The sequence below is a fragment of the Homo sapiens genome, chromosome 2 (assembly GCF_000001405.40).
Source record: "Homo sapiens chromosome 2, GRCh38.p14 Primary Assembly".
In the NCBI taxonomy this organism is placed as follows: Eukaryota; Metazoa; Chordata; class Mammalia; order Primates; family Hominidae; genus Homo; species Homo sapiens.
Window position 1 is genome coordinate 26,845,691 of NC_000002.12, and position 27,914 is coordinate 26,873,604.

At 45.5% G+C, this 27,914-nt stretch overlaps 1 protein-coding gene across 4 annotated transcripts in view; it reads left to right on the top strand.

The window, feature by feature from the left end:
• Window positions 1-2,304: 2,304 nt before the first annotated feature.
• The window catches only part of DPYSL5 (dihydropyrimidinase like 5), a 102,357-nt gene continuing 76,747 nt past the window's right edge, over window positions 2,305-27,914 (top strand). The window contains exon 1 of one of the 4 annotated variants that reach the window (NM_001253724.2): window positions 2,305-2,807. The gene's annotated coding sequence lies outside the window, so the exon portion shown is untranslated. Of the gene's footprint in view, window positions 2,808-3,715; window positions 3,811-27,914 lie in introns of those variants that run through there. The other 3 variants (NM_001253723.2, NM_020134.4, XM_024453007.2) reach the window with 3 other exon arrangements.

Below are 27,914 nucleotides of genomic sequence, written 5' to 3' on the forward strand. Positions count from 1 at the left end.
GCTGTCTTCCAAATACCCGCTTGGGTTCCCCACCCATAAGCTTTTGCTCCTTCACCCCAGAATCTCAGACCTTTGCTTAGAACTGTCCATCAAATCAATATCCAGGTGAAATCCAAATTCTAGCTCCTCCATCTCCCAGTGTTATGCAGAACTGCTTTCTTTCTCGTCTGAATTCTTATTCTACTTTATCTGACCGAGTAGTAATATGAGCTTTATAATAAAAATCACAACATATTGCCTTTTGTGGCTGTTACTGTGGGGAGTGTCACATATTCTTATATCCCTCACACTGTTCAATAACCACTTTCTGTGGGATAAATAATAATAGCTGCATTTGTTGCATGCACACTATGCCAGGCAATGTGCTATGGCCTTTATCTACCTTTCTTCATTTAATTTCCACGACAAGGTTAAAAGAATGTATATGACCCCAGTATTCTGGGTGGAGCTAAGGGTCAGATGGAGTAAGTCACTTTCTCAAGGTCAAGTCGGCAGAAACTGAAGGAGCAAGGATTCCAACCCAGCAATGCGGGACTCCCAGCTCTGTGCTCTTTCTACTTCCCAGGAAACGGAGCCTAAGTTAGCAACAACAAACCGAAGTCGAGGACTGAGGACATATGCAACCCCCGGTTTGGGTGCAACCTTTATCAATATCCTAAACTGACAGATGACGTAGAGGCAGCCGTTTCGCTGACTAGGGAAGGTAGCCCAAGAAAGCTAAGATGCTAGAATCCAAATTTAAGGTCTACGAGACGCTGCAGAAAACATTTACAGTCACTAGAGGGCTCTCTCTCCCTTAAGCAAAAAGCGCAGCACCGCCCGCGCGCGGTAGTCTCGGAACCCCGCCGCCGGGAGGCCGCTGGCAGCTCCACGCCACCTCCCTGAAGCCCAGTCCATTTTGCCTACATCCCTGTCCGGGCAAGCCCTGGAGAATCCATAGGGCAGTGCCCCAAGCTGGAGCAGTTTTCACAGCCACATCCCGGGCTGCACTGGGTTAGGGATGCTTTGAGGTTCCTCTGGGGGCTCCCTGCTCTCTGCTTACCAAGCAGGCGGGAGTTGGGAAGGGGAGAAGGAGTGCAGACTCAGGGGTGGGGTAATCCAGAAATGCATCCCTCAAAGGCCAGCCTGGCCTGGTCCAGGCCCTAAGCTCTCTGGGGAAGGACGGCAGGGAACCCCGCCTTGGCGGGCTCTGCGGGTCCTGCGCCCGGGTAGATTTTGCTGAGATGGGGAGAGGGGACCCCCTCCACGCCCCCGGAGTAGTGAACACCATTTTGTTTGAAAGTATCCTGCAAAGAGAACCACCTCACGAGGCCATGGCTGCCAGGGGACTCCTCTCCCCACCGGATCGCCGGGGAGCCCGGGGAGGGAGGGATTCTGCAGCTGCAGCTTGGAGGTCCTTGATGCTGCATTTTAACGCGCATCGCAACGCCTTTGGAGTGACATTAAGTGCAAAGAGGCAAATGACTAATCCAAACTATTATTACAACTGCAGAAAATAACACAGATCAATGGCAAAGGCTTGAACCGGGATTAGCTAGGGAGGTGGGACAAACCGGGGATGATCCTTCCTCTCCTTTTTTAGATTTGTTTATTTTGGTAAATTATGTATGTATTTAAACATGAAGAAACAGGTGAAGCGAATGTAAATTGGGTTATAAATAATTTCCAAAGGCTTCGCTGTCCCTTGACAGAAGCCAGAAATAAGACAGGCACTGGGCCTGAGCGCTCTGGACAGGGAAGCACCCGCGTGGCGCTGGGCAAAATCTTCTCAGTGGAGAGAACGCACTCCGGGTTCGAGACCTCCCCGGGTGCAGATGCGAACTGCGGTGGCCCCAAGTGGCCGTCCACTTTGTTCATGAGAACAGTTTTCCTATAACGCCCACCCGGCCCTTTGCATCCCGCAATCCCGCGGGCGTCGGAGCGGGTCTTGGCGCGAACCAGGCGGCCTCGGCGGGGTCCTGCGGCGGAGGGCAGCGCGGCCGCAGCCCGGGAGAGGCGGCCGCGGCATTGTTTCAGCCCCTGGGGTGGGATCCAGCTGGGGGAGGGGAGGCGGGGTGTCCTCCGGAACCGCCCCCGGCCCTCCCTGGGGACCCGTGCCTCAGCGCGTCCAGGCTTTGTGGTGTCCTGAGTCGCCATGGAAACCCGAGGGAACGCGGAGCCGGGTGCTAGGGGGGTCGGTGAGTTCTCCGGCCGCGCCCTCCGTCCGCTCTCGGACCCCGGCCCTGCAGCAGGGCCTGCCGGGAGTTGTAGTCCCCAGGCGGCGGCGGCGCGCGGCGCCAAGGATGCGGGACGCCGCCTGTCCCCGCCTCCCCTTAACCTGCTAGCTGAGGTGGGGAGCGGCGGGAGGAGCCGGCCGCGCGGTGATTGGCGGAGGCCGCTCCCAGCCCCCGACACGCGCCCCTCCCCCGCTCCCCACTCTGGACTCCCGCGCTGGGCGCGCTGAGGCGGCCCCCGAGCGAGCGCGCGTGCAGCCGCCGCCGCCCCGAGCACCCGCAGCTCCGGCGCCGCGGCGAGACGGAGACGGACCGAGCCACGGGCCCCCGCGGCCGCAGCATCTCGGAGGAGTGGGTGATGGCAGGGGGGTCGGTGGGCTTACCCCTCCCGGGCTAGGACATCCTCCTCTCCCCCTTCTGTTTCTGCGTGAGGCGCACAAAAGGGCGGGGAGCCGGGTGAGCCTGGGGCCCGGCCGCAGGGGACGCGGCGGGAGGTGTGGTTTGGGGTTGGGAGGTGGCCATCGGGGCTAAGCCGGGGCGCTCTTGGGGTCCTCTTTGTACGCCCGCGAAGCGCCGTGCCGGGCCTTGCTCATAGTAAGCGTTTAATGCGTGCTCGCGGGGTTGCAAAGCCCTGGGGTGAGGAGGCGGCTCGGCCGAGGGGTTTCGCGCCTAGCACGCAGTGGGCCGCTTTCCTAGCCGGGCGCGGTGCAGTGGACCGCTGGAGGGCTGGGCGGGGGCGCCTCTGGCCGGGGGCCAGTCCTGCCGGTCCCAGGATCTGCGCTGTCCCCGGTCCCACACACCACCCAGATACACACCCTCCGTCCTTCTCGCCTCCGAGCTGGGATCTGCCCAGCCTGGACCCGACCCGGCGGTCTGTTCCACCGCCCGGCTAACGGAGCGGACGCCTGCAGAGGACTCGCCCGCCGCCTCCGAGCCTCCCGCCTGAGCCACAAAGGCCTCCTGCGGCTGCCCAGCCCGGAGCGGGCGCCGAGCCGGGTCCCTCGGCTGGAGCCCAGCGCGGGAGCCCGCCTTGCAGCATCGATCTCAGCGGGCACCGACGTCGACGCCCCGGGCCTGGGGACGGGGCTGTAGTCTGAGCTGGAGAGAAGCCGGGAGAGGGCGAGGGGAGGCCTCGGTTGAGAAAAGATGGGGATGGGGAAGGCTGGGGAGCTGGGTTAGGACAGGTAGTGGGTCTCGGGGAGCAGGGAGTGGGAACTAGGGTTTGAGGAGGAAAGAGAAGGGGCGGGGGCGGGTCCGAAGAACGAGGGAAGGAGCTCGGTGCAGGTGGCGCCCGGCGAGGCTGGTTCTGCTGAAGAATGGGGAGGGGAGGAGGGATGCAGGCGGGTGGAGGCCGCCTGGGTTTGAGGAGGGAGGACGGGAGCGAGGAGAAGACCCGCGCTGTGCGGGGGAGGGGGGCCTCCTGGGAAGGGGAGCCTCCCGAGGAGGGAGGGGCAAGCAGCTGAGAGGCGGTCTCGGGCCCGAGGATCCTCAGCTCCAGGCGCGGGGCCCCGCGGCCCAGGTGGCCGGCTGGGCGTGGCCCTCGGACCGGGGTTAGGGACCCAGGATGGCAGATCCGGGACCGGGCTGGGCTGGCTTGGTGAGGAGCTTTGTCTCCAGGCTTGAAACCAGCCGGTAGCGACTCGCTTAGGGTTTTGTGATCTTCCGCGGCGCCCACGGCACGCCCTTTTCTCGAGGAGCTGAAAGGCTTTGCCCAGCAGCAGGTGCTGCCAGGGAGGCGGATCTCCCTTCGGGGAGACCCGGAGAACAATAGCCGACCCTGGTGTCCATCCGACGACAAACCAGGGCCACCCAGGACGCGAGGGTGCAGTTTTCTGGTGCTGGGAATACTCCCTGCGGAACCTCCGGGCACGTGCTGGCTTTGGGGTTTTATGGGGGCCTGGCCACGCCGGGAATCCCGTGTGGGAGGCGCTCCCCCGGCCTGGGGGCCTGCAGACAGCCACCCCCCCACTCCGGCTCGGGTGCCTTCTGGTGCAGCGCCGCCGCCCGCCCCGCGCTGTCCACCCGCTGCCGAGACGCGGCGTGGTTAGCGGCGCGGAGCTGCCGGGCGGCGACGCAGGTGCCAAAGACTGGAGGTCGCCTCGGTGCAGCGCGGGTTCCCCCGAGCAGCGGCTTTGTCTGCCGAGGCGGCCGTAGTCTAGGGGCTGCAGCTGTGCTTTCTCAGGGGGAGCCGTAAGGGCTGGTGCGGATTGTGGTCAAATTGCGGAGAAGCGGGTGGAAATGATCCCGCAAGGGTGAGGCTCTAGGTTTGGGAGCCGCTGCTAGGGGTCCAGTGCTTTTCTTTGCCAGTGACCACACCCAAGCCAGTGCGTCTCTTGCAGACTTCGCCCATATTGTCTGCTGACCTAAGACTGGGGTAGCTCTGTGATAGGCGCTGCTTGCCCGTGGGAAAGCAGATGAACCGAATGGAAGCTTAAAACAGGCTTTCAGCAGGGCTTTCCACGCACTCAGCCTCTCGCCCGCCGTCTAAACACCTTGCAAGTCACCGCTGCAGCGCCTTGACATGTGAAGTGACACCCAAAGCCAGAATTCTGTGTTGCACTGTTGCTTTGATAACTGGTTAGATGACAAGTTAAAGGTGAATCTTTAGCATAAAGTTATCATTTTAAATTGCCATTCATTAAAAAAAAAGGCAGGAATGTTTTTGTTCCCAGACTGGGCGATACTTGGCATTGTAGAACTCATTGATGCCACTTACATTTGCCACTAAGTTAACTGAGAACCTGTTGGTTCTCTTAACCCAGCCTTGAAATCTCAGGATTTGCTTTCTTAACAAGATTAGTGTGTAAGGTGAAGGACTGTGCTGTGGCTGTTGGCTTTTGCCCAGGACAGATGATAGCTGTCAAAGTGAAGGCCTCTTGTCTGAGTGTCCTTTCTGGCCATAGGGAGTCAGCAGTAGGCTATGTCTTGCTGGTTTTAAAGGATGGTGTTTTGAGGAGGTGCCTCACAGAATTTACAAAACTGATCTGGAAGGACTAGCTGGAACATTGCTCATTGGTTGTTTTTAACTATATTTTAACTGAATTATATATATGTATATATTAATATGTATATACACACATATATATATACACATACTATATTTTACTAAATTATATATGCATGTGTGTATTTATGCATACACACAAACATGGATTCAGAGTACATAAATACTAGGAATCTCAATATTAGAAACCTAGAAATCTGACAGTGAAGGTTTTTTCTTGTAAGAGAGCTCCAATGGGAAACATGTTTTCATATTATTACCCAAAGGGAACAATTTCAGGAAGGAGTGTTTTGTTGGCTTCTTTTTTGTAATAATTTTATGGATTTTTAAAAGGATGTAATCTTCTTAAAGCACTCTGTGAACATCCATTGCAGTCTGTTCCTCATGGCAGGGAATCCATAGACAAGGAATGCCGGTATGACCAGCCTGACGTGAAGGCCTGGCTGTTGTCAGCGTAACCTCTCTAGGTGCAAACATTAGCAGGGTTGTTGCATTATTCTTAATGCTTCTATCTCTGGAAAGAGTTCCACAGCAAGGCAAGTTTACACAGTTGGCCAAAATCAGGTCTCAGGACTTGGCGTAAACTTCATTTGTGGCACTTCCACGTCTCTTCTCCTGCCATAGCTATCTGAGAATTTCCCCTTAATAGCTTCTCTGACCCAGGATTCTGTATGATCCTGCATTAGCTCCACGGGACTATAAGCCAAAGGACAGCATGACTATAGGCAGGTCTCTGGGGTAAAAGTAAATTGTGGCCAGGCACAGTGGATCACGCCTGTAATCCCAACACTTTGGGAGGCTGAGACAGGAGGATCACTTGAGGTCAGGAGTTCGAGACCAGCCTGGCCAACATGGTGAAACTCCATCTCTACTAAAAATACAAAAAAATTAGCCTGACGTGGTGGCGCACACCTGTAGTCCCAGCTACTTGGGAGGAGGCTGAGGTGGAGAATCACTTGAACCTGGGAGGCCGAGGTTGCAGTGAGCTGAGATCGTGCCACTGCACTCCAGCCTGGGCAACAGAGTGAGACTCTATCTCAAAAAAAAAAATGTGAATTGTGTGTTCAGATCATTTTCTTGGGGCATAGAAAAATATTGAGAGCCAGAGAAGTTGGACAAGAGTATCTGAGACCCAGTCTATCTTCCTGGTGTGAAAATTTACCAGTTTCTGATAGAATCTGATCTTGTGTATCTTTTTTGTTTTCTGAGGTATAAAAACATATTCCAGAAAAGTCTTCTAAGACTTAATTCACAGGAATCCTGTAGAACAAGATATCTTTGTCAACATGAAGTCCTGTAGGGAAAACTTGGTGTAATATGGGAGCAAATAAGAATAAATGTGTTTTATCATTTTTCCAATAAGCAGGTGTTTGATTTCATTGCACTGCTGGTGCATAAATGAGAAATAATTTCAAAATCGCTTTGCCTTGCTTTTTTTTATGTGAAGATGAAAGGTTGAAATACCATAACATGAATCTTTTGTGAGCTTTGGTATTTATGTATAAAAGTGGGCACAAATTATACACTTGAACAAAAGAAATTCAGGGAGGAACATGGTGTATGATTTGTTCTACTTCAGTCTTTGAAACTTGTTTCATTTAAAATAAGCTGATTTAACCATTGATTGAACCCGAGCTTGCCAAGCACTCCCATCAATCACAGCCCTGTTCTGTACTTGTTCCCTCGCCTCCCTCCTCCCTCGTCACAATCCAGGCTCAGCGGTAGCGTGTACAGGAGGGAGAGCCAGAAAGCCTGGGTTCAGATTTCACCTTGGCCACTTTCTGTTTATCTGTGCAATGAGGATGGTTGTATTAGGTTGGTGCAGAAGTAATTGCTGTTTTTGCCATTACTTTTAATGACAAAAACTGCCGTGACTTCTGCACCAACTTAACAGTATCTACATCTGGGGTTGTTCTGAGGCTTACATGTGTTAATGGTTAGCACTGAGAGCAGCATCTGGCATCTTGTAAGTGCTCAGTAAAAGTTATCATCACCATCAGCAGCAGCATCATATTCTCCCTCTAAAATGTGTGTCCACAAAAACAACACTTTGATTCCCCATTTAATCTTTCATCCCAAGGGGCCATGGCAAGTTGCTGTAGGGATTAACAGTGGGAACACAAGGAATGATTAGGACTCCTTTCTAAAACTCCCACCCTTGCAAATAGTAGGAATAGCTCTCTGTGGAGTCTGTTTCCTGGCAGCCTCTTTAAGCTCAGCTGTTTTTAGCAGCTGAGAACTTGGAGAATTAAGAGTGTTCCAGAAGTGCTGTGACCTCAGCTTTGCTGCATCATTCCTTTGAGTGGGGTTAGGCTGGCGTGGCTGGTGAGGAGCTGTTGTCCCAAGGCTATGTAATTCTTGGTGTGGGGAAGAGTCATCATGTTTGGTTGATGGCAAATTATTGGGAATAAAGAAAACTCAGGTTTTCCAGCTAAGAAATACAGAATTTTGTGCAACTTGGAACCACAGTTATTTATTTCACAAACACTTTCAAAGCACTCTGTGCCAGGGGTGGTTCTGATTACTATGCATTAGGTTACTGTTATTATCCTCATTTTACAAATGAGGCAACAAAAGTAAAAAGGACACCCAGATGGGGACATGGCAGAGCCAGGCCTTGAACTCAAGGGGTTTGATTACCATCTGTATCAGTTCTCCAGGATAACTGGAGTTCTCCAGAAAAACAGAAAATCAGTTCTCCAGAAAAACAAAACCAATAGGATTGGTTTATGCAATTGGAGAGGCTGGCAAGTCCCATATCTGTAGGGAAGGCTGGCAGACCGGAAACTAGGCAGGAGCTCATGGTGCACTCTTTACTTAGAATTTCTTCTTTCTCAGGGAAAACTCAGTTTTTCTCTTAAGGCCTTTTAACTAATCATATGAGGCCCACCCACATTATCAAGGAAAAATCTCCTTTCCTTAAAGTCAACCACCCAGCCTGGGAAACATAGGGAAACTCCATCTCTACAAAAGTTAAAAAAAATTAGCCAGGTGGGGTGGCACATGCCTGTGGTCCCAGCTACTTGAGAGGGTGATGTCAGAGGATTGCTTGGGCCTTGGAGGTCAAGGCTGCAGTGAGCTGTGATTACACCACTGCACTTCAGCCTGAGCAACAGAGCAAGACTCTCTCAAAAATTAAAAAAAAAATAAAGTCAACTGATTATAGATGTTAACCACATCTACAAAATACCTTCACAGCAACATTTAGATGAATCTTTTATTGGATAATGGTACTATAGCCTAGCAAAGTTGACACAAAGAACTAACTAGGCCAGGCACAGTAGCTCACACCTGTAATCCCAGCATTTTGGGAGGTCGAGGCAGGAAGATCACTTGAGGTCAGGAGTTCGAGACCAGCCTGGTCAATATGGCGAAACCCTGTCTCTACTAAAAATACAAAAATTAGCCAGGCATGGTGGCATATACCTGTAGCCCCAGCTACTCAGGAGGCTGAAGCACAAGAATCACTTGAACTGGGAAGGTGGAGGTTGCAGTGAGCCAAGATCACACCATTGCACTGTAGCCTGGGTGACAGAGTAAGACTGTTTCAAAAAAACAAAAAACCACAACAACAAAAAAAGAAAGAAACCCTAACCATAAAAGGATCCATGCCTTTAAACAGTACCTCAAGCTGAGAACCTTATGAGTTGGGTGTGAGATTCACAGTTAACTAAATAATTTAGCAATAGGCTATCCCATTACAAAATGCTGCACCTTACCTTGTTTAAAATAGAATTTGGACCTCTTTTCTCGTCCAGGTGGCTTCTAGCCCAGAATATTGCTCAGAGTAACCATTCAACAGATAATATTGAAAGAATGACTGAATGGTTTTAGGTGATATTTTACAGGATTTTCCAGCTACTGAGACCTCTGGCTCCCCATTTAAATTTTTTTTCTTTTTCTTTTTCTTTTTCTTTTCCTTTCTTTTTGAGATGGAGTCTTACTCTGTCGCCCATGCTGGAGTTCAGTGGTGCGATCTCTGCTCACTGCAACCTCTGCCTCCCGGTTCAAGCAATTCTCCTGCCTCAGCTTCCCGAGTAGCTGGAATTACAGGCATGCACCACCACACCCAGCTAATTTTTGTATTTTTAGTAGAGACGGGGTTTCACCATGTTGGCCAGGCTGGTCTGGAACTCTTGGCCTCAGGTGATCCGCCCGCCTCAGCTTCCCAAAGTGCTGGGATCACAGGCGTGAGCCACTGCGCCTGGCCTCCCTTTTAAATTAGAAATCATCTGGCCCATGCTGGGCGCGGTGGCTCATGCCTGAAATCCCAGCACTTTGGGAGCCTGAGGCGGGTGGGTCATAAAGTCAGGAGTTCGAGACCAGCCTGGTCAATATGGTGAAACCCCGTCTCTACTAAAAATACAAAAATTTAGCTGGGCGTGGTGGCAGGTGCCTGTAGTCCCAGCTACTCAGGAGGCTGAGGTAGAAGAATCGCTTGAACCCAGGAGGCAGAGGCTGCAGTGAGCCCAGATCGCGGCACTGCACTCCAGCCTGGGTGACAGAGCCAGACTCCATCTCAAAAAAAAAATCATCTGGCCCAAGTAAGATTGAGTTTTTGTGAATGACTAGATTCTTTTGGAAAGAAAGGAGAACTTCTGCATTCTGAATTGTGCACGTGTCACTCCCTACTACCTAACATCTGTCCACTTTCATTGGTTTGGCAAAGGGGTTGAGGTCTGTTGCTGCCTGGACTCCCTGTGAATGTGTGTCTCCCACATGTTAGTAGTGCCCGGTACTCAATCACACCATCTTTGTGTCACTCCAGTGTCCATTTCTAAGCTGCCCCTTTGTTGATTTCAAATCCGCCATGGGCTGACTCGAAATTCTCACGCCTTGGGTCTTTATTCTCCCTTCTTTTGTCTGGTCCTGTCCCTCCCTTTGTCCTTCTGCAGAGCAAGATCCACTATTGATACAGAAGCCGCCTCCTTTCTAATTTTTTACTTCGGATTTCTGACCTTGTAGATTGATATGTTTGTTCTGTTATAAAATTCAAAAACAACCCCCAATTTTTTCATTTAATATCTTTTTGCTCTTGTTTCCAGCATACGTGAAACACTTTCAACCTTAATGAAGTTACTTAAATTGTTTTAAGTTTGCCGTATTGTCAAGTGGCAATACACATACATGAAACAGTCACTTTTGGGGGGTACAGTGGCTGAGGGTGCATTTTAAAAAAAACTAGTAAAGTATAACAGATAAACTGAGAAGTGTACAAACCATAAGTGTATAGCTTGATGAGACATACCCATGTAATCTGCACCAAATTAAGAAACAGAAAATTGGAGTCTCTGAGCCTACTATGGCTCAGAAGCCTGCCTGATTCAAAATCTTATTATTTAAAAAAGGGAAAAAAAGAAAGAAACAGAATTATCAGTACTCAAGGAGAGTCTCTAGTTACTTAGTATTCTTCCTCCATATCCTGACTGCTTATACACAGATCAATCAGCTTTGCCTATTTTTGAATTTTTACAAATGGAATCATGTAGTGGATATTCTCTCACCAGGGGCTTCTTGTGCTCAAGGTTATATTTGCGAGATTTCTCTTACTGTTGTATCTAATTTGCTTATTTTTTTCATTGCTATATAGCATCCCATTGTATGTATGTACCAAATGTGTCAGTTATGTTGCTAATGGTATTTGGATAGTTTCCGGTTTGGGGCTTTCATGGACAGTGCTGCTGTGAACATTCTAGTAGGTGTTTCTGTTGGGTATATATATACCTAGGAGTGAAATTACTGGGTCAGGGATACACACATGTTCTGTTTTAGTAAATTGTGCCAAATGCTAAGATTAATGGAGAAATTAAAAAAAAAATCCTCTGAAGTATACAATGCAGCTGTTTAAACCAAAATCCTAAAGACTGGCACAATATTATGGCTGGATCAGAGGTTGACTTCCAACTCTTATTCTTCAGCAAAAAGTAGAACTTTAAGCTATATCTCTGACTCCACAGTAATCTATCAGTTAAAAAAATTATATATATTATATATACATATATAATATATGTAATAAATATTATATATGTATATATAATATATATTATACTAGTTTTCAAGAATTGTCCACAAATAACCAATTGATTGGCTGAAATGAACACTTTTAAACTAAGCGGTGTACGTCTACCTTAGTCTTGCTACTGCAGTTTTCTTAACTCATGTTTCTTGAGGAAAAGATGAAAATCATATTATAAATGCAACATTGGTCCAGATATCATTCCAGAGATGTCCTGACAGCCTTGGGCAAGATTAACAAGTGCTTTTTATTGTTAACTAATTTATATTTCTTGTATTGGGTCAAATAGCAATTTTGAATTGTGTGATTTCTGTGGCTTAAAAAAAGTCTCAGCCAGGCGTGGTGGCTCACGCCTGTAATCCCAGCACTTTTCGGGCACAAGGTGGACAGATCACCTGAGGTCAGGAGTTCGAGACCAGCCTGGCCAACATATAGCGAAACCCCGTCTCTACTAAAAAACACAAAACTTAGCTGGGCGTGGTGGTGCACACCAGTAGTTCCAGCTACTTGGGAAGCTGAGGCAGGAGAATCGCTTGAACCCGGGAGGTGGAGTTTGCAGTGAGCCGAGATTGCTCCACTGCCCTCCAGCCTGGGCGACAGAACAAGATTCTGTCTCAAAAAAAAAAAAGAAAAAAAATCCCACAAAAGTGTCAGCTTGGAATCACAGAGTTCAGATTTCTTATTTGGCCAGACAGGATATTGATTTCTAATAATGGCCAGAATTCTTATTTCTTATAATAATTTCAGATTTCCTATAATGGCCAGACAGGACACTGCCTTTTTTAAATTTAGAAATAGAATTATGACATGTATCTTATTTTCTGTAGGTTTCTGGAAAAACTTAAAATAGATGTGATTTTTACAGTTGGATTATAATGGAAAGAACCTCTGCAACTAATGAAAAAAGTAAAGATAAGGCACAACAATATGAGCACTAACCTTCAGCCTGTCGCATCTCATGTTCATGGCCAGTATCGTCATGTGGCCCAGGAGAGATGGCAGTGATGGGCATGGCCAGTGTGCATAAAGGACAGTGGTTGAGGCATAATTATAGGATGGTGGTAATGAAACACGAGCAGCCAGAGGAGCCTGCCAAGGCAGTCATGAACTCCTAACTTGGCTGGTTTTTGCCTTATGTGATCCATTCACAGCCCAAATTGTTCCTGAGAAAGATTTTTTTTAGCATGTGGTCTGCCATGTTTGGTATTTGTCTTTATACAAACAAGTGAATGAGATCAGACTTAACATTTTTTTTTTTTTTTTTTTGAGACGGAGTCTCTCTCTGTCACCCAGGCTGGAGTGCAGAGGCGCGATCTCGGCTCACTGCAAGCTCCGCCTCCTGGGTTCACACCATTCTCCTGCCTCAGCCTCCTGAGTAGCTGGGACTACAGGCACGCGCCACCAAGCCCGGCTAATTTTTTGTAGTTTTAGTAAAGACGGAGTTTCACCGTGTTAGCCAGGATGGTCTTGATCTCCTGACCTCGTGATCTGCCCGCCTCGGCCTCCCAAAGTGCTGGGATTACAGGCGTGAGCCACCGCACCCAGCCCAGACTTAACATTTCTTTAAAACCTCGACTTACTGCTTAAACTCTGAGTCCCTTAAGCACTTAAATATTTCATATTTCATATCTTTTATAATATAGGATTTAATTTTTTTTTTTTTTGGAGACAAGGTCTCACTCTGTCACCCAGGCTAGAGTGCAGTGGCATGATTGGGGCAGCCTCGATTTCCCAGGCTCAAGCAATCCTCTCACCTCACCCTCCCAAGTAGCTGGGACCACAGGTGCAGGTGGATGCCACCACACCCAGCTATTTTTTTTTTTTTTTTTCCGTAGAGATAGGGTCTCCCTATGTTGCCCAGGCTGGTCTTGAACTGCTGGTCTCAAGCAATCCCCCCGCCTTGGCCTCCTACAGTGCTGGGATTACAGACATCCACCACCACACCTGGCCTAATTTTGTACTTTAAAATATATAAATCTAATACTCCAATATTTAATCAATTATAAACCACCCATAGACAATTTTGTTTGCCTAGCTAATGTAATTTTGGCTGATTCCATTCAAGCCTTTGTCCATATGTTTACATAAATTTTTACAGAGTTGTTACCATGGCATGGAAATTATTTCATATTCTGTTCTTTCATCAAAACTTTTCCATGTCTCTATCTAATTTACAAATTGAAGCTTTTAAATGGCAGTCTTCAGTTCCGTTGGAATGTACTAGATTCCATTTTTTTAATTCATTTTGTTTTCATATGTTATTAGATTCTATTTATGCATTTACTTATTGATGAACATTAAGGTTATGTTCAAGTTTTTAATTATTTTAGATAGTACAACCACAAAAATCCTCATTCGTATCTTTGTGAACATCACATATATCATTTTCATACCTAGCTGATAATATGTTTTTGAGAATAGAGATTGTGTTTTTTTTTTTTCCAAATGTTTTTGGCATAGGGGGTACAATTCTATCTATAGTACCTGATAGTTTTCACATTAAGAGAAATGTATAAATACCTGTTAATTCCTTTATTTCAGGACCAACTTCACAAAGTTTCCTGATCAGCAAATACTTTCTAATCAGCCTTAATTGGCAAGTTGGTCATTGAAGAATTTGTGTGAAAGTAGGAATAAAATTGTGTGAGCTACTCAGTCATTAACAGGAATAATTTGGAGGACAAAAGATTCCAAGTGAAGCTGATTTTTATCAATTAATTCTATAAAATTGTGCTGTCTCAGTGGCAGATAGCACCTGATGTTGGCCATTATGACAGAAATTAAATGGTCTTGGTGTTGCAGAGAGATGATTCGGTTATGAGACGCACCCATTGCTAAGTTTGAGTATCTGGTAACAGAGTGCAAATAGCCAGAAATGGAAATGAATGTTAGTGCTGCCTGGCAAGGGAGAGAGAGGTTTACTGTCTGATAACTGTGCACTTAACTTGCCTTGGGCTGTTGTTTGAGATGGGCTTGAACCTCCTCTCAGACCTGCACCTATTTCCTGAGTGCCTGCAACGGGCAGTGCGATTTCCAGGAAGGAGCTAGTGCATGGGAGAGAAATGGGGTTGGAATCCTGACTGTTACTTCCTAGGCACGAGAGATCTTGGGTAAAGTCATTTTATCTCCTCAAGCCTCAGTTTCCTTGTGAACTAAAGGGATGCTAATATCGTCCTCACAGGCTTCTAGAGGACTAAAGTGAAAACGTGCACTGAGTCTGGTGGGAGTGTGGTAAGTGCTAAGTGGAGCTAATGGTATTGTCCAGATGCTAAATTAGGTGCTTTGTGACATATAAATGTATATAAAAACAATCAAAGGGACATGATTGTCAAATGGACACAGGCTGGACAATATGACAATTGGAGAATGTAAACTTCTCCCTCACATAAGGAGAAGTTTAGCACAACGCCTCTCCCCTCCTGTGTCTGTCAAATGAGAAGATGCAGACTGGATGCTGTCCTGACTGCTTTGATGTCCTGTGACAGACACCCTGTGTTGCTGCTGAGCTGTCACAATTCTTCATTGGTGAAAACTGGCAGATTTGCAGTTTGACACTATCTATCAAAATTAAAACTGCACATTCCTTTTAACCCAGCAGTACCACTGCTAGCAATTTTTCCTAAAGATATACAAGCACATGTGCTTGATGAAAAATAGGAAGGGCTGTTATTGCAGCACTATTTGTACTAGGAAAAAATTAGACATGACCTATCATTGGAGAATGAATGGAATGCACTATGACACGTCCTTACAAAGGAATACCATACAGCCATTACAAAGAATAAGGCAGGTATTTCTGTTCTGATGTAGAACAATCTCTAATATATATCATTGAATGGGAGGAAAACAATGCAGAACAATATTTAATGCGTGCCACCCTTTCTGTAATACATTATGTAATGTGAAATATATACTTAAATATGCATAGACCATCCATGGAAGGAAACACAACAAAACCTATGATGTTGCTTGTCTCTGGAGGGGTCAGGGAGGAGCTGGGAAAACTCACAATTTACATGGCTTTAAATGTTTATCATGTCTATGTTTTACCTGTCTAAACAGTAATAATAATTTGTCACCCGTGGCTGGCTCTGGCTCACCCTGTCAGAGACTCAACAAGACTTGAGGAGGGTGAAGTTCTTGGGCCCATGTGGATGGCTTATGTTCCCAAACGGACCCCCAGATGCAGGCCTCCGAAATAAGACACAAGCATACAGAGTTGGGCTTTCAGGCTTACTGAACAGACAGACTGTGTTTTTTTGACTGCCCATTCAAACAAGAAAGGCTCTGAGATCAGGAAGTAGGTATGACCCATTATTGCTGACTATCAAATAGCTTTTCCAATATTTCCCCTTTGAGTCTTTTTTATTCAGAGGAAAACTTGGTTGGAACTGTAGGACACAGAAGATGAGAAGCACTAACTGGGCATTGTGAACCTTCCCACAGGTTCACAATGTGTGTGATGTGTGTGTCTGCTCATCCCTTCATCCCTTCCTTCAGGCAGCAAGTGCTTGATGAATACCTGCACTGGGCCAGGTGTCATCATAGGATATTGGGTCTAAAAGAACTTTAGAGAACGTTTAGTCATTTCACAGAGGAGGAACCCACAGGGCACTTTAGCTTTCAGTGAGTGGTATCGGTGCAGAGAGAATGGTGATTTTTGCCTTCTTTGGTCTCGGATGATGGGTTAGGAAGCCTCTGGATGCTCCTATAGAATTGGCTTCCTCATGTAGAGCATTCATTTCATTTTGCCTTGTGTTTCAATTACTTGTGGACATGTTTTCTCTCTAAGGACGTGAAGACAGATTCATGCCATCCCCCGGCCATGATCTCTAACTCCTGGTGTTCACACTCTTATGTAATCCTCTATCTTTGAATGTGGCAGGACCTGTGACCTGCTTCTAACTAATAGGATACAACAGGGGTGATGGGAATGTCCTTTCCCTTATTATGTTATATAATACCTTATCTTGCTAGCAAACTCCTTTTGGAGACTCTTTTTGCTTGATGAAGTAAGTGGCTATTTTGGGAAAGCCCACTTGGCAAGAAATTGGTGGCTTCTAGGAGCTGAGGGTGTCCTCTAGCTGAGAGCCTGCAACCATGTGGAAATGAATTCTGCCAACAATGTGACTGAGTGTGGAAATAAGTTCTCCCCCAGGCAGGTCTCCAGATGAAAACATAGCTCATCCAGCATCTTGATTGCAGCCTTGTGAGGCTCTAAGCAGAGGACCCAGGGCTCCTGACCCACAGAGTGTGAGGAAATAAGCTTGTGTTGTTTTAAGCCACTAAATTTGTGATCATTTGTTACACAGCATAGAAAACTAATACAGGGCTCTCTTGTGGCACTTGGCGCAAGGCCCCTCAGCAAGTTGGTTATCAATGAATATGTTGAGCTGAATTTATTTCTCTTTCTTTTCGTGAATGTATCTCACAATAATTGCCTGAAGTGCTCTCACTTGGGTGGTCATATAATTTATATTTCAAAGCAGAGCACTTTGGAGAGTGATTATTATTTGCTATTAATGATCTACTTGGGTCTATAGGGATAAACTGGGTCTATGCCAGGCATACTGGGAGGTATGGTCCCCCAAGCTATGATAATCTCATCATTTATTGTCCACGTTTTCCTGGCTCATTTTGCCCCAGGAAGCCATTGCATGTTTGTTGATTATTTTTCTTCTGGGTCTGCACTCTTCCTTCCCCCTCCCCATCCCTACCTGCTCCCTGGCTTCTGCCTGGATGTTGGCAGAGAGCCGCTGTGTGCCTGACTGTGACAAGGCTGGTGGAAGTCACCGGGATGCCAGGCACATCCAGCCTCTGTGTGGAGGTCCAGCAGAGTGGGGCAGCTGTATTGACTAAGTTGGTGGGAAGGGAGGCTGGGACGGAGCTGTGCAGAGGAATTTACTAGAAGCAGTTGCAGGAGTGATCAGCACCCCATTACATGGCCATTTTCAATGTGTACAGCCTATTCCAGAAGCTGTTTCTGCCTGCCCCTGGTGTTTTTGTTGGGTTTTGTTCAGGTGGAGGGGAGGGGACTTGTTGAGGTGCCCTCCCCTTGGAATCCCCTTTTTGGAATAGACCCTGTAGCATCTGACACATGCACTCTGAGGGCCTCTCTCCAACACAGCGGGAGGAGAGGCTCCCTTTCCCCCACCACCCACCTCCATAATTATCTTCCTCAGAATCCATATGGGGAGCCCAGTCCCTTCCCACATGTCACCAGAATGTCCCTTCACTTTTTCACTGAGCCAACCACTTGCATTGCCCCTGGCCCACCCCTTCCTCCAATGTTCAGCTGTGTGGAGCCATACTAGCCCTGGCACTCTTGGCCACAGCTCTGACATGGGCCCCAGGCCATTGGCATCCTCCCCCTTTAAGCTGGCTCAGTTTCAGCTGCTGACCAGGAGTGTGGGACAGTCTTGACCTGCCCCCCAGGCATGTACCTATTTTCTTGACTTGTGGACCAGGCTGGAGTTTCCATTCCTTTCCTATCACTGCTTCTCAAATCTTGCCCAGAATGGTAAAGGAAAAGGAGCTCATACCCCTGGGAGCTTGTGGGCTGGGCCTGCAGCACCCTGGTACAAGTTGGAAATATCTTTGAAGCCTGCTTGAACAGCTTTATTGAGTATTGAGATACAACTTTCATACCATAGAGTTCACCCATACTAAGTGTGCAATGCAATGGTTTCTAGTGTGTTCACAGAGTTGTGTAGTCATCACCATAGTCTAAATTTACCACATTTTTGCCACCCCAAAAGAAACTCCATACGCATTAGCAGTCACTCTCTGTTTCTTCCACTACCATCTCTTCCCCAACCCTCCAGCCCCTGGCAACCACTAATCTACGTATTGTCTCTAGGGATTGGCTGATTCTAAACATTTCATATACATAGAATCGTACAATATGTGGCCTTTTGTGACTGTTGAAGCCACATTTTTTAATCTTAAGAAAATTAATGCACTGTCTGCACTCTAGTTCACAGTATTTCCTTTTCGTTTTAATAGATACAAGGAATTTCAGAAATTACATATAGTTAGACCGGGTGCAGTGGCTCACACTTGTAATCATAGCACTTTGAGAGGCCAAGGTGGGTGGATCATTAGAGCCCAGGAGTTTGAGACCAGCCTGGACAACATGACAAAACCCTATCTCTTTCAAAAAAATACAAAAATTAGCCAAGTGTAGTGGTGCGCGCCTGTAGTCCCAGCTACTTGGGAAGCTAAGGTGGAAGGATCACTTGAGGCCTGGAGGCGGAGGTTTCAGTGGGCCCAGATCGCTCCACTGCACTCCAGCCTGGGCAATGAATCCAGACCCTGTCTCATAAAAGAAAAGAAATTACACACAGTTTAAATGTTTAGCCCCACAAGAGTGCTCCAGGAAGAAAGAAGTGCCTTACTCATGCCACACCCCTGGGGCCCCAGTCTGAAAGGGGCTATGCCTCAACAATGCTGACAGCATCCAGATGGCTTTCCATCCAGAGCAGGTGCAGATCCCAAAGTAGGATTATTTGAGTAGATGATGGGAAAGGTGGGGAAGATGATTAACATTCTCTAAGCATCTGCCACTAGCCAGGCACCATCTAAGTACCACGGAAAGGAAAAGGTGGATGGAGGTGCTGGTCTTGAAGAAGTCTCAGTCACTTTCTGGGTGTAGATTGTGCAACTGTCAGTAAAGTGACAGAGAATGACTAACGTGAACCATCCTGGCCATTAGGATGCAGCAGAGATCTTCACTGATGAGTGTTGGACTGGATTTGGGAAGAAGACGCTAGGCAGAGGGATGAGTGTGAAGCTGCAGGAAGGGCCAGGCACTTGGAGAGGGACCTACTTGGCTGGCCTGTGAGAGCAGGGAGGCTTGGGCAGCAGGGGAGAGGGGGACAGACGCCCAAGGTGGCCGGGGTCAACTAAGCACATCCGTACTCCCCTGTTTCCACCTCTTCCTGACTCTTCGCCTTTGGGGTCTATGTGCTGAGGGGAGTCCAAGGCTGCTGGTCTAAAGAAGGGGGCCCAAGAGGGTCAGAAATGAGGAGACCTTGTCTTCATCTACATCCGTTCACAGACCCCCTCGTTGCCCTGAGCCTCCAGACCACCCTCAGCAATTTTTCTTTCCTAATTAAAATCAGTGACAATACAATGATGAGTTTTGAAAATACATTTAGTGTTTCTGTATATTTAAATAAGAAAACTGTGTGCATAAATGCAATGTGTTTTTTTCCTCCTTCTGATTTTGTATTAAAATAACATCTCTTGTTCCTTCTTTCTTTGGAAACCTTTGTTCACATCCTTCATGCTCCAAATAGCCAACAAATAGCACAGAAAGCATGGTCTTTCCTCCTAACTGTAGAGTCCTCTGTTCTTTGTTAAGATGTGGAGATAGGGTTTTGTGTTCTTTTTTTTTTTTTTTTTTTTTTTTTTAAGACGAAGTCTTGCTCTGTCACCCAGGCTGGAGTGCAGTGGCGCGATCTCAGCTCACTGCAACCTCCGCCTCCCAGGTTCAAGCAATTCTCCTGCCTCAGCCTCCCGAGTAGCTGGGATTACAGGCATGCACCACCACGCCCAGCTAATTTTTTGTGTAGAGACAGGGTTTCACCATATTGACCAGGACGGTCTTGATCTCCTGACCTCGTGATCCTTCCGTCTTGGCCTCCCAAGGTGCTAGTATTACAAGAATGAGCCACCACACCTGGCCTGTGTCCATTTTTAAATGCATGGTGAGCTTGAAGTCATCAGAGCCCACTTTATTGTATAAACATTTTATCATAATAGGTGTGGCCCATTAGAAAGACCTTATGGGTGAAGAGAGAGTCAAAAGGCTGGAAAAGATAGCTCATGGCTTTTTTGTGTGTGCTTTAAACTCCTCAGTTGTAAGCAATGAATTGGGACATTTACAGAGACCTATGCCAAGTATCAACACAGATGTCAACACAGATATCTGTAACACACAGCCCTTGCCCCCCACCAGCAATTACAGACTAAAATCTAACAGATAGAGACCTGCAGTTCTTGAAGGCAAGGATTCTGTAACACTCATTTTGAACCCCACCATCAGGGACAGTGAGGGGCACCCGGTGGGTGTTTGTCTGCATGGTGAGTGAAGTGACATATGAGTTGGCCAGATGAAGGATAAATGCCCTGTGAACAGCATAGCCCCTAAATGAGAATTCAGAGTAAAGGCAGGAAAGAGAATGTCTAGGAGTTAAGCCTGGGTTTAGAGCTTGCCCTTCCACACTTACTAATAATCTGTGTGATATCAAGCAAATTACCTAACGCTTCTGAACCCCACTGGCCTCATTCACTGCAGTGTTGCTGTGAGGATAAGAAATGAAATACATAAAACATCTAGTCCTGTGCATGACACATAATAGAGGCTCAGTAAATTTGACTGGGTGAGTATAGTTTTCCCCTGATTTTATTAACAATACATATTCACTGTGGAAAATGTAAATGATATCGTAAGGAAGAAAACAAGACACCTGAAATCCCACAACCCTAAAATAGCCACCATTAGCAGTTTGGTGACCACCTTTCATGCATCTCATTATGCAAACACACACACACACACACACACACACAATGTTCATTGTAATTGTTATTTTTTCTTTCTTTGTTAAAAAATGAGGCTTAGAAGAATTGTAATGTTCCCAATACAAAGAAAAGATAAAGTTTGAGGTGATGGATATCCCAATTACCCTGATTTGATCATTACACATTATATACATACATCATAATATCACATGAACCCCCCAAATATGTACAACTATGATATATCCATAAAAGTAATAATAAAATAAACTTAAAAATTCTTCTTCTTTTTTTTTTTTTTTTTGAGACAGAGTCTCACTCTGTTGCCCAGGCTGGAGTGCAGTGGCATGATCTCGGCTCACTGCAACCTCCGTCTCCCGGGTTCAAGTGATTCTCCTGCCTCAGCCTCCTCAGTAGCTGAGATTACAGGTGTGTGCCACCACGCCCAGCTAATTCTTTTGTATTTTTAGTAGAGACGGGGTTTCACCATGTTGGCCAGGCTGGTCTCGAACTCCTGACCTCAAATGATTCGCATGCCTCGGCCTCCCAAAATGCTGGGATTACAGGTGTGAGCCACCGAGCCTGGACTAAAAATTAATGAGACTCTTTGTCTCATCATCTCCTACTAAACACCACCCGTTCACCCTTAGGTAACCAACATAAACTGGGGTGTTTCCACCCACAGTTTACCCTATACACATCAATGTATATAAATATATGTACATAGGTAAATATCTTTTGTCCTTGTTCATCTTAACTAAATGGGATCCGATTTAACGTTATGTCTGTGTGTGGGTGTCCAGGGTACATGCATTGGATTTACATTTTGGTAAAATACATCATCTCTGCAATTTTCCTTATCACTAATCTTGGAAGAGACTGTAGGCCAACTGATATAAATCTTTTTAAAATTGCATAATATCCCATGGCATGGATAATGCTACAATTTAGTCTGCCATTCTCTATTGATGGACATTCGGTTTGTTCCCAATTGTTTGTTTTTTTTTTTGTTTGTTTTTTTTTTTTTTGAGACGGAGTCTCGCTCTGTCGCCCAGGCTGGAGTGCGGTGGCGGGATCTCGGCTCACTGCAAGCTCCGCCTCCCGGGTTCACGCCATTCTCCTGCCTCAGCCTCCCAAGTAGCTGGGACTACAGGCGCCCGCCACTACGCCCGGCTAATTTTTTGTATTTTTAGTAGAGACGGGGTTTCACCGTTTTAGCCGGGATGGTCTCGATCTCCTGACCTCGTGATCCGCCCGCCTCGGCCTCCCAAAGTGCTGGGATTACAGGCGTGAGCCACCGCGCCCGGCCCCCAATTGTTTGTTTTTGCCCTGCCAACAGTGCTGCAGTGGACAGCTTGGTGCCTGTCTCCTCATGTTCTGTTGTTTTTATTTCTATGGAGAGAGTCCTAGGGGTGAGGTGCTGGGTCAGAGGTCCTTTTACAATGTTAATAGAGCCTTTTCAGACTTTTTCAGAAGGGTGCAATAATTCACGTTTCCACCAGCCATGTATGGATTCTCCTCACCACCACTCCCAATTTGCACCCCTCCTCCCACAAGACCTGCCAATGACAAGGTATCACGCTTGAATTTTTGCCATCTGATGGATGTAAAGTGATACCTCATTGTTACTTCCTGTATTTGCATTTCCTTGACTACTGCAGAGGCTGAACATCATCTCATATGTTGTTGGTTATTTAGCTTTGTTCTTCTGTGTATCACTTACTGATGTCCTATGCCCATCTTTCTCTTGGTTGTTTGTCTTTTTCCAATCAATATGTTAAGAGCTCCTTGCTGTCATATGCGCTGCACATGTTTTCTCAGACTCTTTATCATTTATCTATTGATTTATTTCTATAGTATCTTTCATTTCTTGATAAAAATTTAAACATTTTTATCAAGTCGGAATTGTGTCTTTGTGTGTGTGTGTGGCCTCTGAGTTTGCAGACTGAGTTAAAAGCGATCCCCTACTCCTTGGTGGTACGCAGTCTCCCAGGTTGTCTTCTAGTCTTTTTATTGTTTTATGTTTTACATTTAAATAAATTCCAGATGGATTACAGATTTTGATATATGCTGTAAGGTAGGGAGCCAATTTAATTTTCTTCCAGATGAATAACCAGTTGTGCCCACATCATTCATTGCATAAGTCATTTTCCCCACTGAATTGAAATATCACTTCTGTTGGATTTAATTGAAATCTGCTACCAAGCACTCTATTCTGCTCTCCTTATCTGTTGATACCATACAGTTTTAACTACGGTGATTTCATAGAGCATATTGTAATATCTACTAAGGAAGCCCTTCATCTTCCCCACACTATTCCTTTTTATAATTTTCTCAACTCCTCTCAATTCCATTATTATCTATTTCAAAAGAAACACATTGGGTATTCACTTCTATATACTAATTTGGAGAAAATTGACATTTTACGATATTATGTCTTCCTGTCTAAGCATATATTTGTTTCATTCTGCTTGGATCCTATTTTTTATACTTTGAGAAGTTCTTTAGGATTCTATGCCTTTCTTGGTTTGTTTTTTGAGACAGGGTCTTGCTGTCTTGCCCAGGCCGAAGTGTAGTAGCGCAGTCACAGCTCACTGCAGCCTCAACCTCCTGGGCTCAAGCGATCCTCCTACCTCAGCCTCCTGAGTAGCTGGGACTATGGGTGCACGCCACCATGCCTAGCTAATTTTTGTATTTTTTGAAGAGACAGGGTTTCACCATGTTGCCCAGGTGGATTTCGAGCTCCTAGGCTCAAGAAATCCACCCACCTTGGCCTCCCAAAGTGATGTGATTACAGGCGTGAGCCACTATGCATGGCCAGCCTTTCTTAGTTTTCTTTCTTTTTTGTTTGTAAAGCTGTATTGAGGTGTAATTTACATACTATAACATTACTTGCTTTAAGTGTATAATTTGCCGATGATTAGATTTTTACAGTTGTGTAACCATCATATAGTCTAATTTTAGAAAATGTCCATCACCCCACACAGACACTTTGAGGCCATTTGCAGACACTCCCCATTCCCACCCCCAGCCCTAGGCAGCCACTGCTCAAAATAGATCAAAATAGAGAAAATACTCTATATATAGATATTCCCTTTCTGCGTCATTCTTAGTGTTTTATTCTTTACAATGTTTTTCACTGTTGTGAATAGAACATTTTTTCCTCCTATTTCTTGCTAGCTGTTTGCTATAAAAAATACTGATTTTGTTATATTTATCTTATAATCCATTATCTTACCACTTTTCTTAGGTTTTCTTATTATACAACTATAACATAATGTATCGGCCGGACGCGGTGGCTCACACCTGTAATCCCAGCACTTTGGGAGGCTGAGGTGGGCGGATCACGAAGTCAGGAGATCGAGACCATCCTGGCTAACACGGTGAAATGCCGTCTCTACTAAAAATACAAAAAATCAGCCGGGCGTGGTCACAGGCGCCTGTAGTCCCAGCTACTTGGGAGGCTGAGGTAGGAGAATTGCTTGAACCTGGGAGGCGGAGGTTGCAGTGAGCTGAGATCGCGCCACTGCACTCCAGCCTGGGTGACAGAGCAAGACTTCGTCTCAAAACAAACAAACAAAAACATAATGTATCTTCTTTTTCCATGTTTATTCTGAGGATTAATTTTCTATCTTACTGCGTTTTCTGGCAACTTGTAAAATTGTTTAATAATAGAGGTCAGGGGAGGCATCCATGTTCTGTTCCTAATTATAATGACTGACTTTTGTGCTTTACTCATTAGAATGATATTTGCTGTTGGTTTTTGGTAACGTGTCTTTATTACACTTGAGTCGTTTTGTCCTGTTCCATGGTTCTTAGAATTTTTATTGGGAATGGCATTTCATCAGATGTCTTCAACTTTTATTTATTTTGATTGGTTTTTCTCCGTTGATTTGTGGATGTAAAGAATGATGCTGCTAACTTCCATGATGAATTGTCCTTGGCTTATGGAATAAACCCAGACAGGTCAAACTGTATTATCCTTTTGGTACACTGCAAATTGTTTACAACTGTAGTTTGTGTCTTTTGTATCTATGTTCATGAGGTTTGTCCAAGGGCTTACTATTTTAGTACTACCATTATTAGGCTTTGATATTAGGGTTATATTGGTTTTATAAAATGAATTGGCCATGCACATGGCTGTAATCCCAGCACTTTGGGAGGCTGAAGGATTGCTTGGAGCCCAGGAGGTTGAGGCTGCAGTGAGCTATGATCCGCCACTGCACTCCAGCCTGAGCGACATAGTAAGAAAGACTCTGTCTCAAAAAAAAAAAAAAAAAAATTAAAATGAGTTCAGGAGCTTGTCATCAAACTGTCATTTTTTGACAACTCTTGATGGACTGGCAGAGGCAGGGAAAGTCAAAACAACAAGGTTGAGAGGTAGCTATCCTTCCATTCTGTTTGTCTTTTAAGCCTGCTGTGTAGTAGTTAATAGTTAATACATTTCCTTAATTATTGGCTAGAGCTGCTCTACACATTGACTTAACCACTAGCCACATGTCTGTTTAAATTAAAATGAAATAAAATTTAAAATTCAGTTCCTCAGTCATACGAACCACCTTTCAGGTGCCCAGTAGCCACATGTAGCTAGTAGCTGCCACGCTAAACAACAAATCAGGGGTCAGCAGACCATGTTCAGTGGAGTTCTTGTACGGCCTGGTGAGCTAAGAATGGTTGTCACCATTTTAAGAGATTACTTTAAAAAAAATGTGACAGAGCCTGTGACTGTGGCCCCCAGAGCTTAACCTATTCACTCTCTGGCCTTTTACAGAAAAAATCTGGTGGTCCCTGATTGAGAACATTGTCTCCTAACTTGAGTTGCTTACTTATCCCTTCCCATCATTTTTATAATGGAACACCATCTGTATGACTGTTTACCTAATATTTTTCTTTAAATAGATTTACTTAAATTTTTGAAAGAAACATTATATCAGCATCATAAATAGAAATATTTACTTACTTTTTTAACTTAAATTTTTGAAAGAAAGATTACATTATTATTATTATTATTGTTTGAGATGGAGTCTTGCTCTGTCGCCCAGGTTGGAGTGCAGTGGTGCCATCTTGGCTCACTGCAGCCTCTGCCTCTCAGGTTCAAGCAGTTCTCTGCCTCAGCCTCCCGAGTAGCTGGGATTACAGTTGCGCACCACCACACCCAGCTAATTTTTGTATTTTTAGTAGAGACGGGCTTCACCATGTTGGCTGGGCTGGTCTTGAACTCCTGGCTTCAAGTGATCCACCCGCCTCGGCCTTCCAAAGTGCTGGGATTACAGATGTGAGCCACCACACCCAGCCAGAAACATTACTTAATTTTTTGAAAGAAACATTATTTCTTACATTTTTACTTGAAGTTTTGAAATTTACTTAAATTTATTTTACTTAAATTTTTGAAAGAAACATTATATCAACATCGTAAATAGAAACATTTGCCATAAATAGATAACTAGAAAAATAAATACAATGAAAGCCAACAGTATTATTAAATTCCAATTACAAACTAGACCTTGGTCTTTCCTTTGCTAAAAAGACAGATTAGTAAGTATGAAGTATTAGAAGATACACACCCACCAGCTGAGATATTTTCCTTGATGTAATCAGACATGTAGAAAGAGAACTGGAAAGGGAACTGCCTCCTCACTCATAATTCAGTGTCATTTAAGTCCGGGCACGTGTACCTCCTGAAATCACTTGTACACGTGTTCTAAACTTTGGAGCACTGGGCTGAGGAGAGAGGAGAGCAGGGAGCATGAGTCTGGCTCAGATGATGGCTGGAGTTGCGGGTGCCTAAGTAGGGCAACAGTAGTTAGACACCTTCCTTACCACTGCCAGCTAAAGGATGCACAAGACATCATTTGAATTCTCTTTGTTGTGAAGGTTAGAGCACCAGATGTAAATTTATAATTGGACTCTGTCATTCCACAGAACACTCCACAGAAGTGTCATCACTAAGTAAAAAAGTTAATGGGCCAGGCGCGGTGGCTCACGCCTCTAATCCCAGCACTTTGAGAGGCCGAGGTGGGCGGATCACGAGGGCAGGAGTTCAAGAACAGCCTGCCCAACATGGTGAAACCCCGTCTCTACTAAAAATACAAAATTCAGCTGGGTGTGGTGGTGCGTGCCTGTAATCCCAGCTACTCAGGAGGCTGAGGCATGAGAATTGCTTGAACCCAGGAGGCGGAGGTTGCAGTGAGCCAAGATCATGCCACTGTACTCCAGCCTGGCAGAGCGTGACTCTGTCTCAAAAAAAAAAAAATTAATAATATTTTCCCAGCTTTTATTGATGTTTACTCTATATTAAAAATGGCGTGAGCCAAGATCATGCAACTGCACTCCAGCCTGGGCAACAGCGAGACTCTGTCTCAAAAAAATAAAAAAACAAAAAACGGCCGTTGGAAAAATATTTCCGTACCTTCTGCAAAACTGCAGTCAAATATATATTTATTTTCCTTAAATAGTGATTCCATAAATTCCTTCTAGAATTTTTATTTACATGTAGAACAGACTTACTATCTCTAAAATATTTAGACTGAAACCTCTTTTTAATGTTTCCTGGTGGGTGAATCAGAGCCTTCCTTTAATCCAACAAGGGTTTCCCTTTCCTAAACCATTTCCCCTTTTGTTTGAACTGCTAGGAAGCTTAGTGCTAAATGCAATTCCTACTATATTATATGTTTTTTTACTTCTTTTCAACAATCCACTTTTAAATGCATTTTTGTTGTTTTTAAATCAACATTGTTGAGGTATAATTTATATACAATAAACACAACAATTTTTTGATGTATATTTCAGAGTTTTGACATTTTTATTTGCCTATGTAATCACTACCACAATCAAGATATGGAATATTTCTATTATCCCAAAAAGTGCCTCTTTCTAGTCAATCCCCCTTCCTCTCCACCACCACCTCCGCTCGTGCTCCCCCTCACCCCCCTGGCAATCAGTGATCTACTGTCCCTATAGATCAGTGCCTCTCAGGCGACATATAGCAATGTCTGGAGACATTTTTGGTTGTCACAACTGGGCAGGTACTACTGGTATGTAGTGGGGAGAGGCCAGGAATGCTGTTAAACATCTACAGTGCACTGGATAGCTCCCAGGACAAAATATTAACTGGCCAAAAACTTCAATAGTGCCAAGATTGAGGAACCCTGCTATAGAT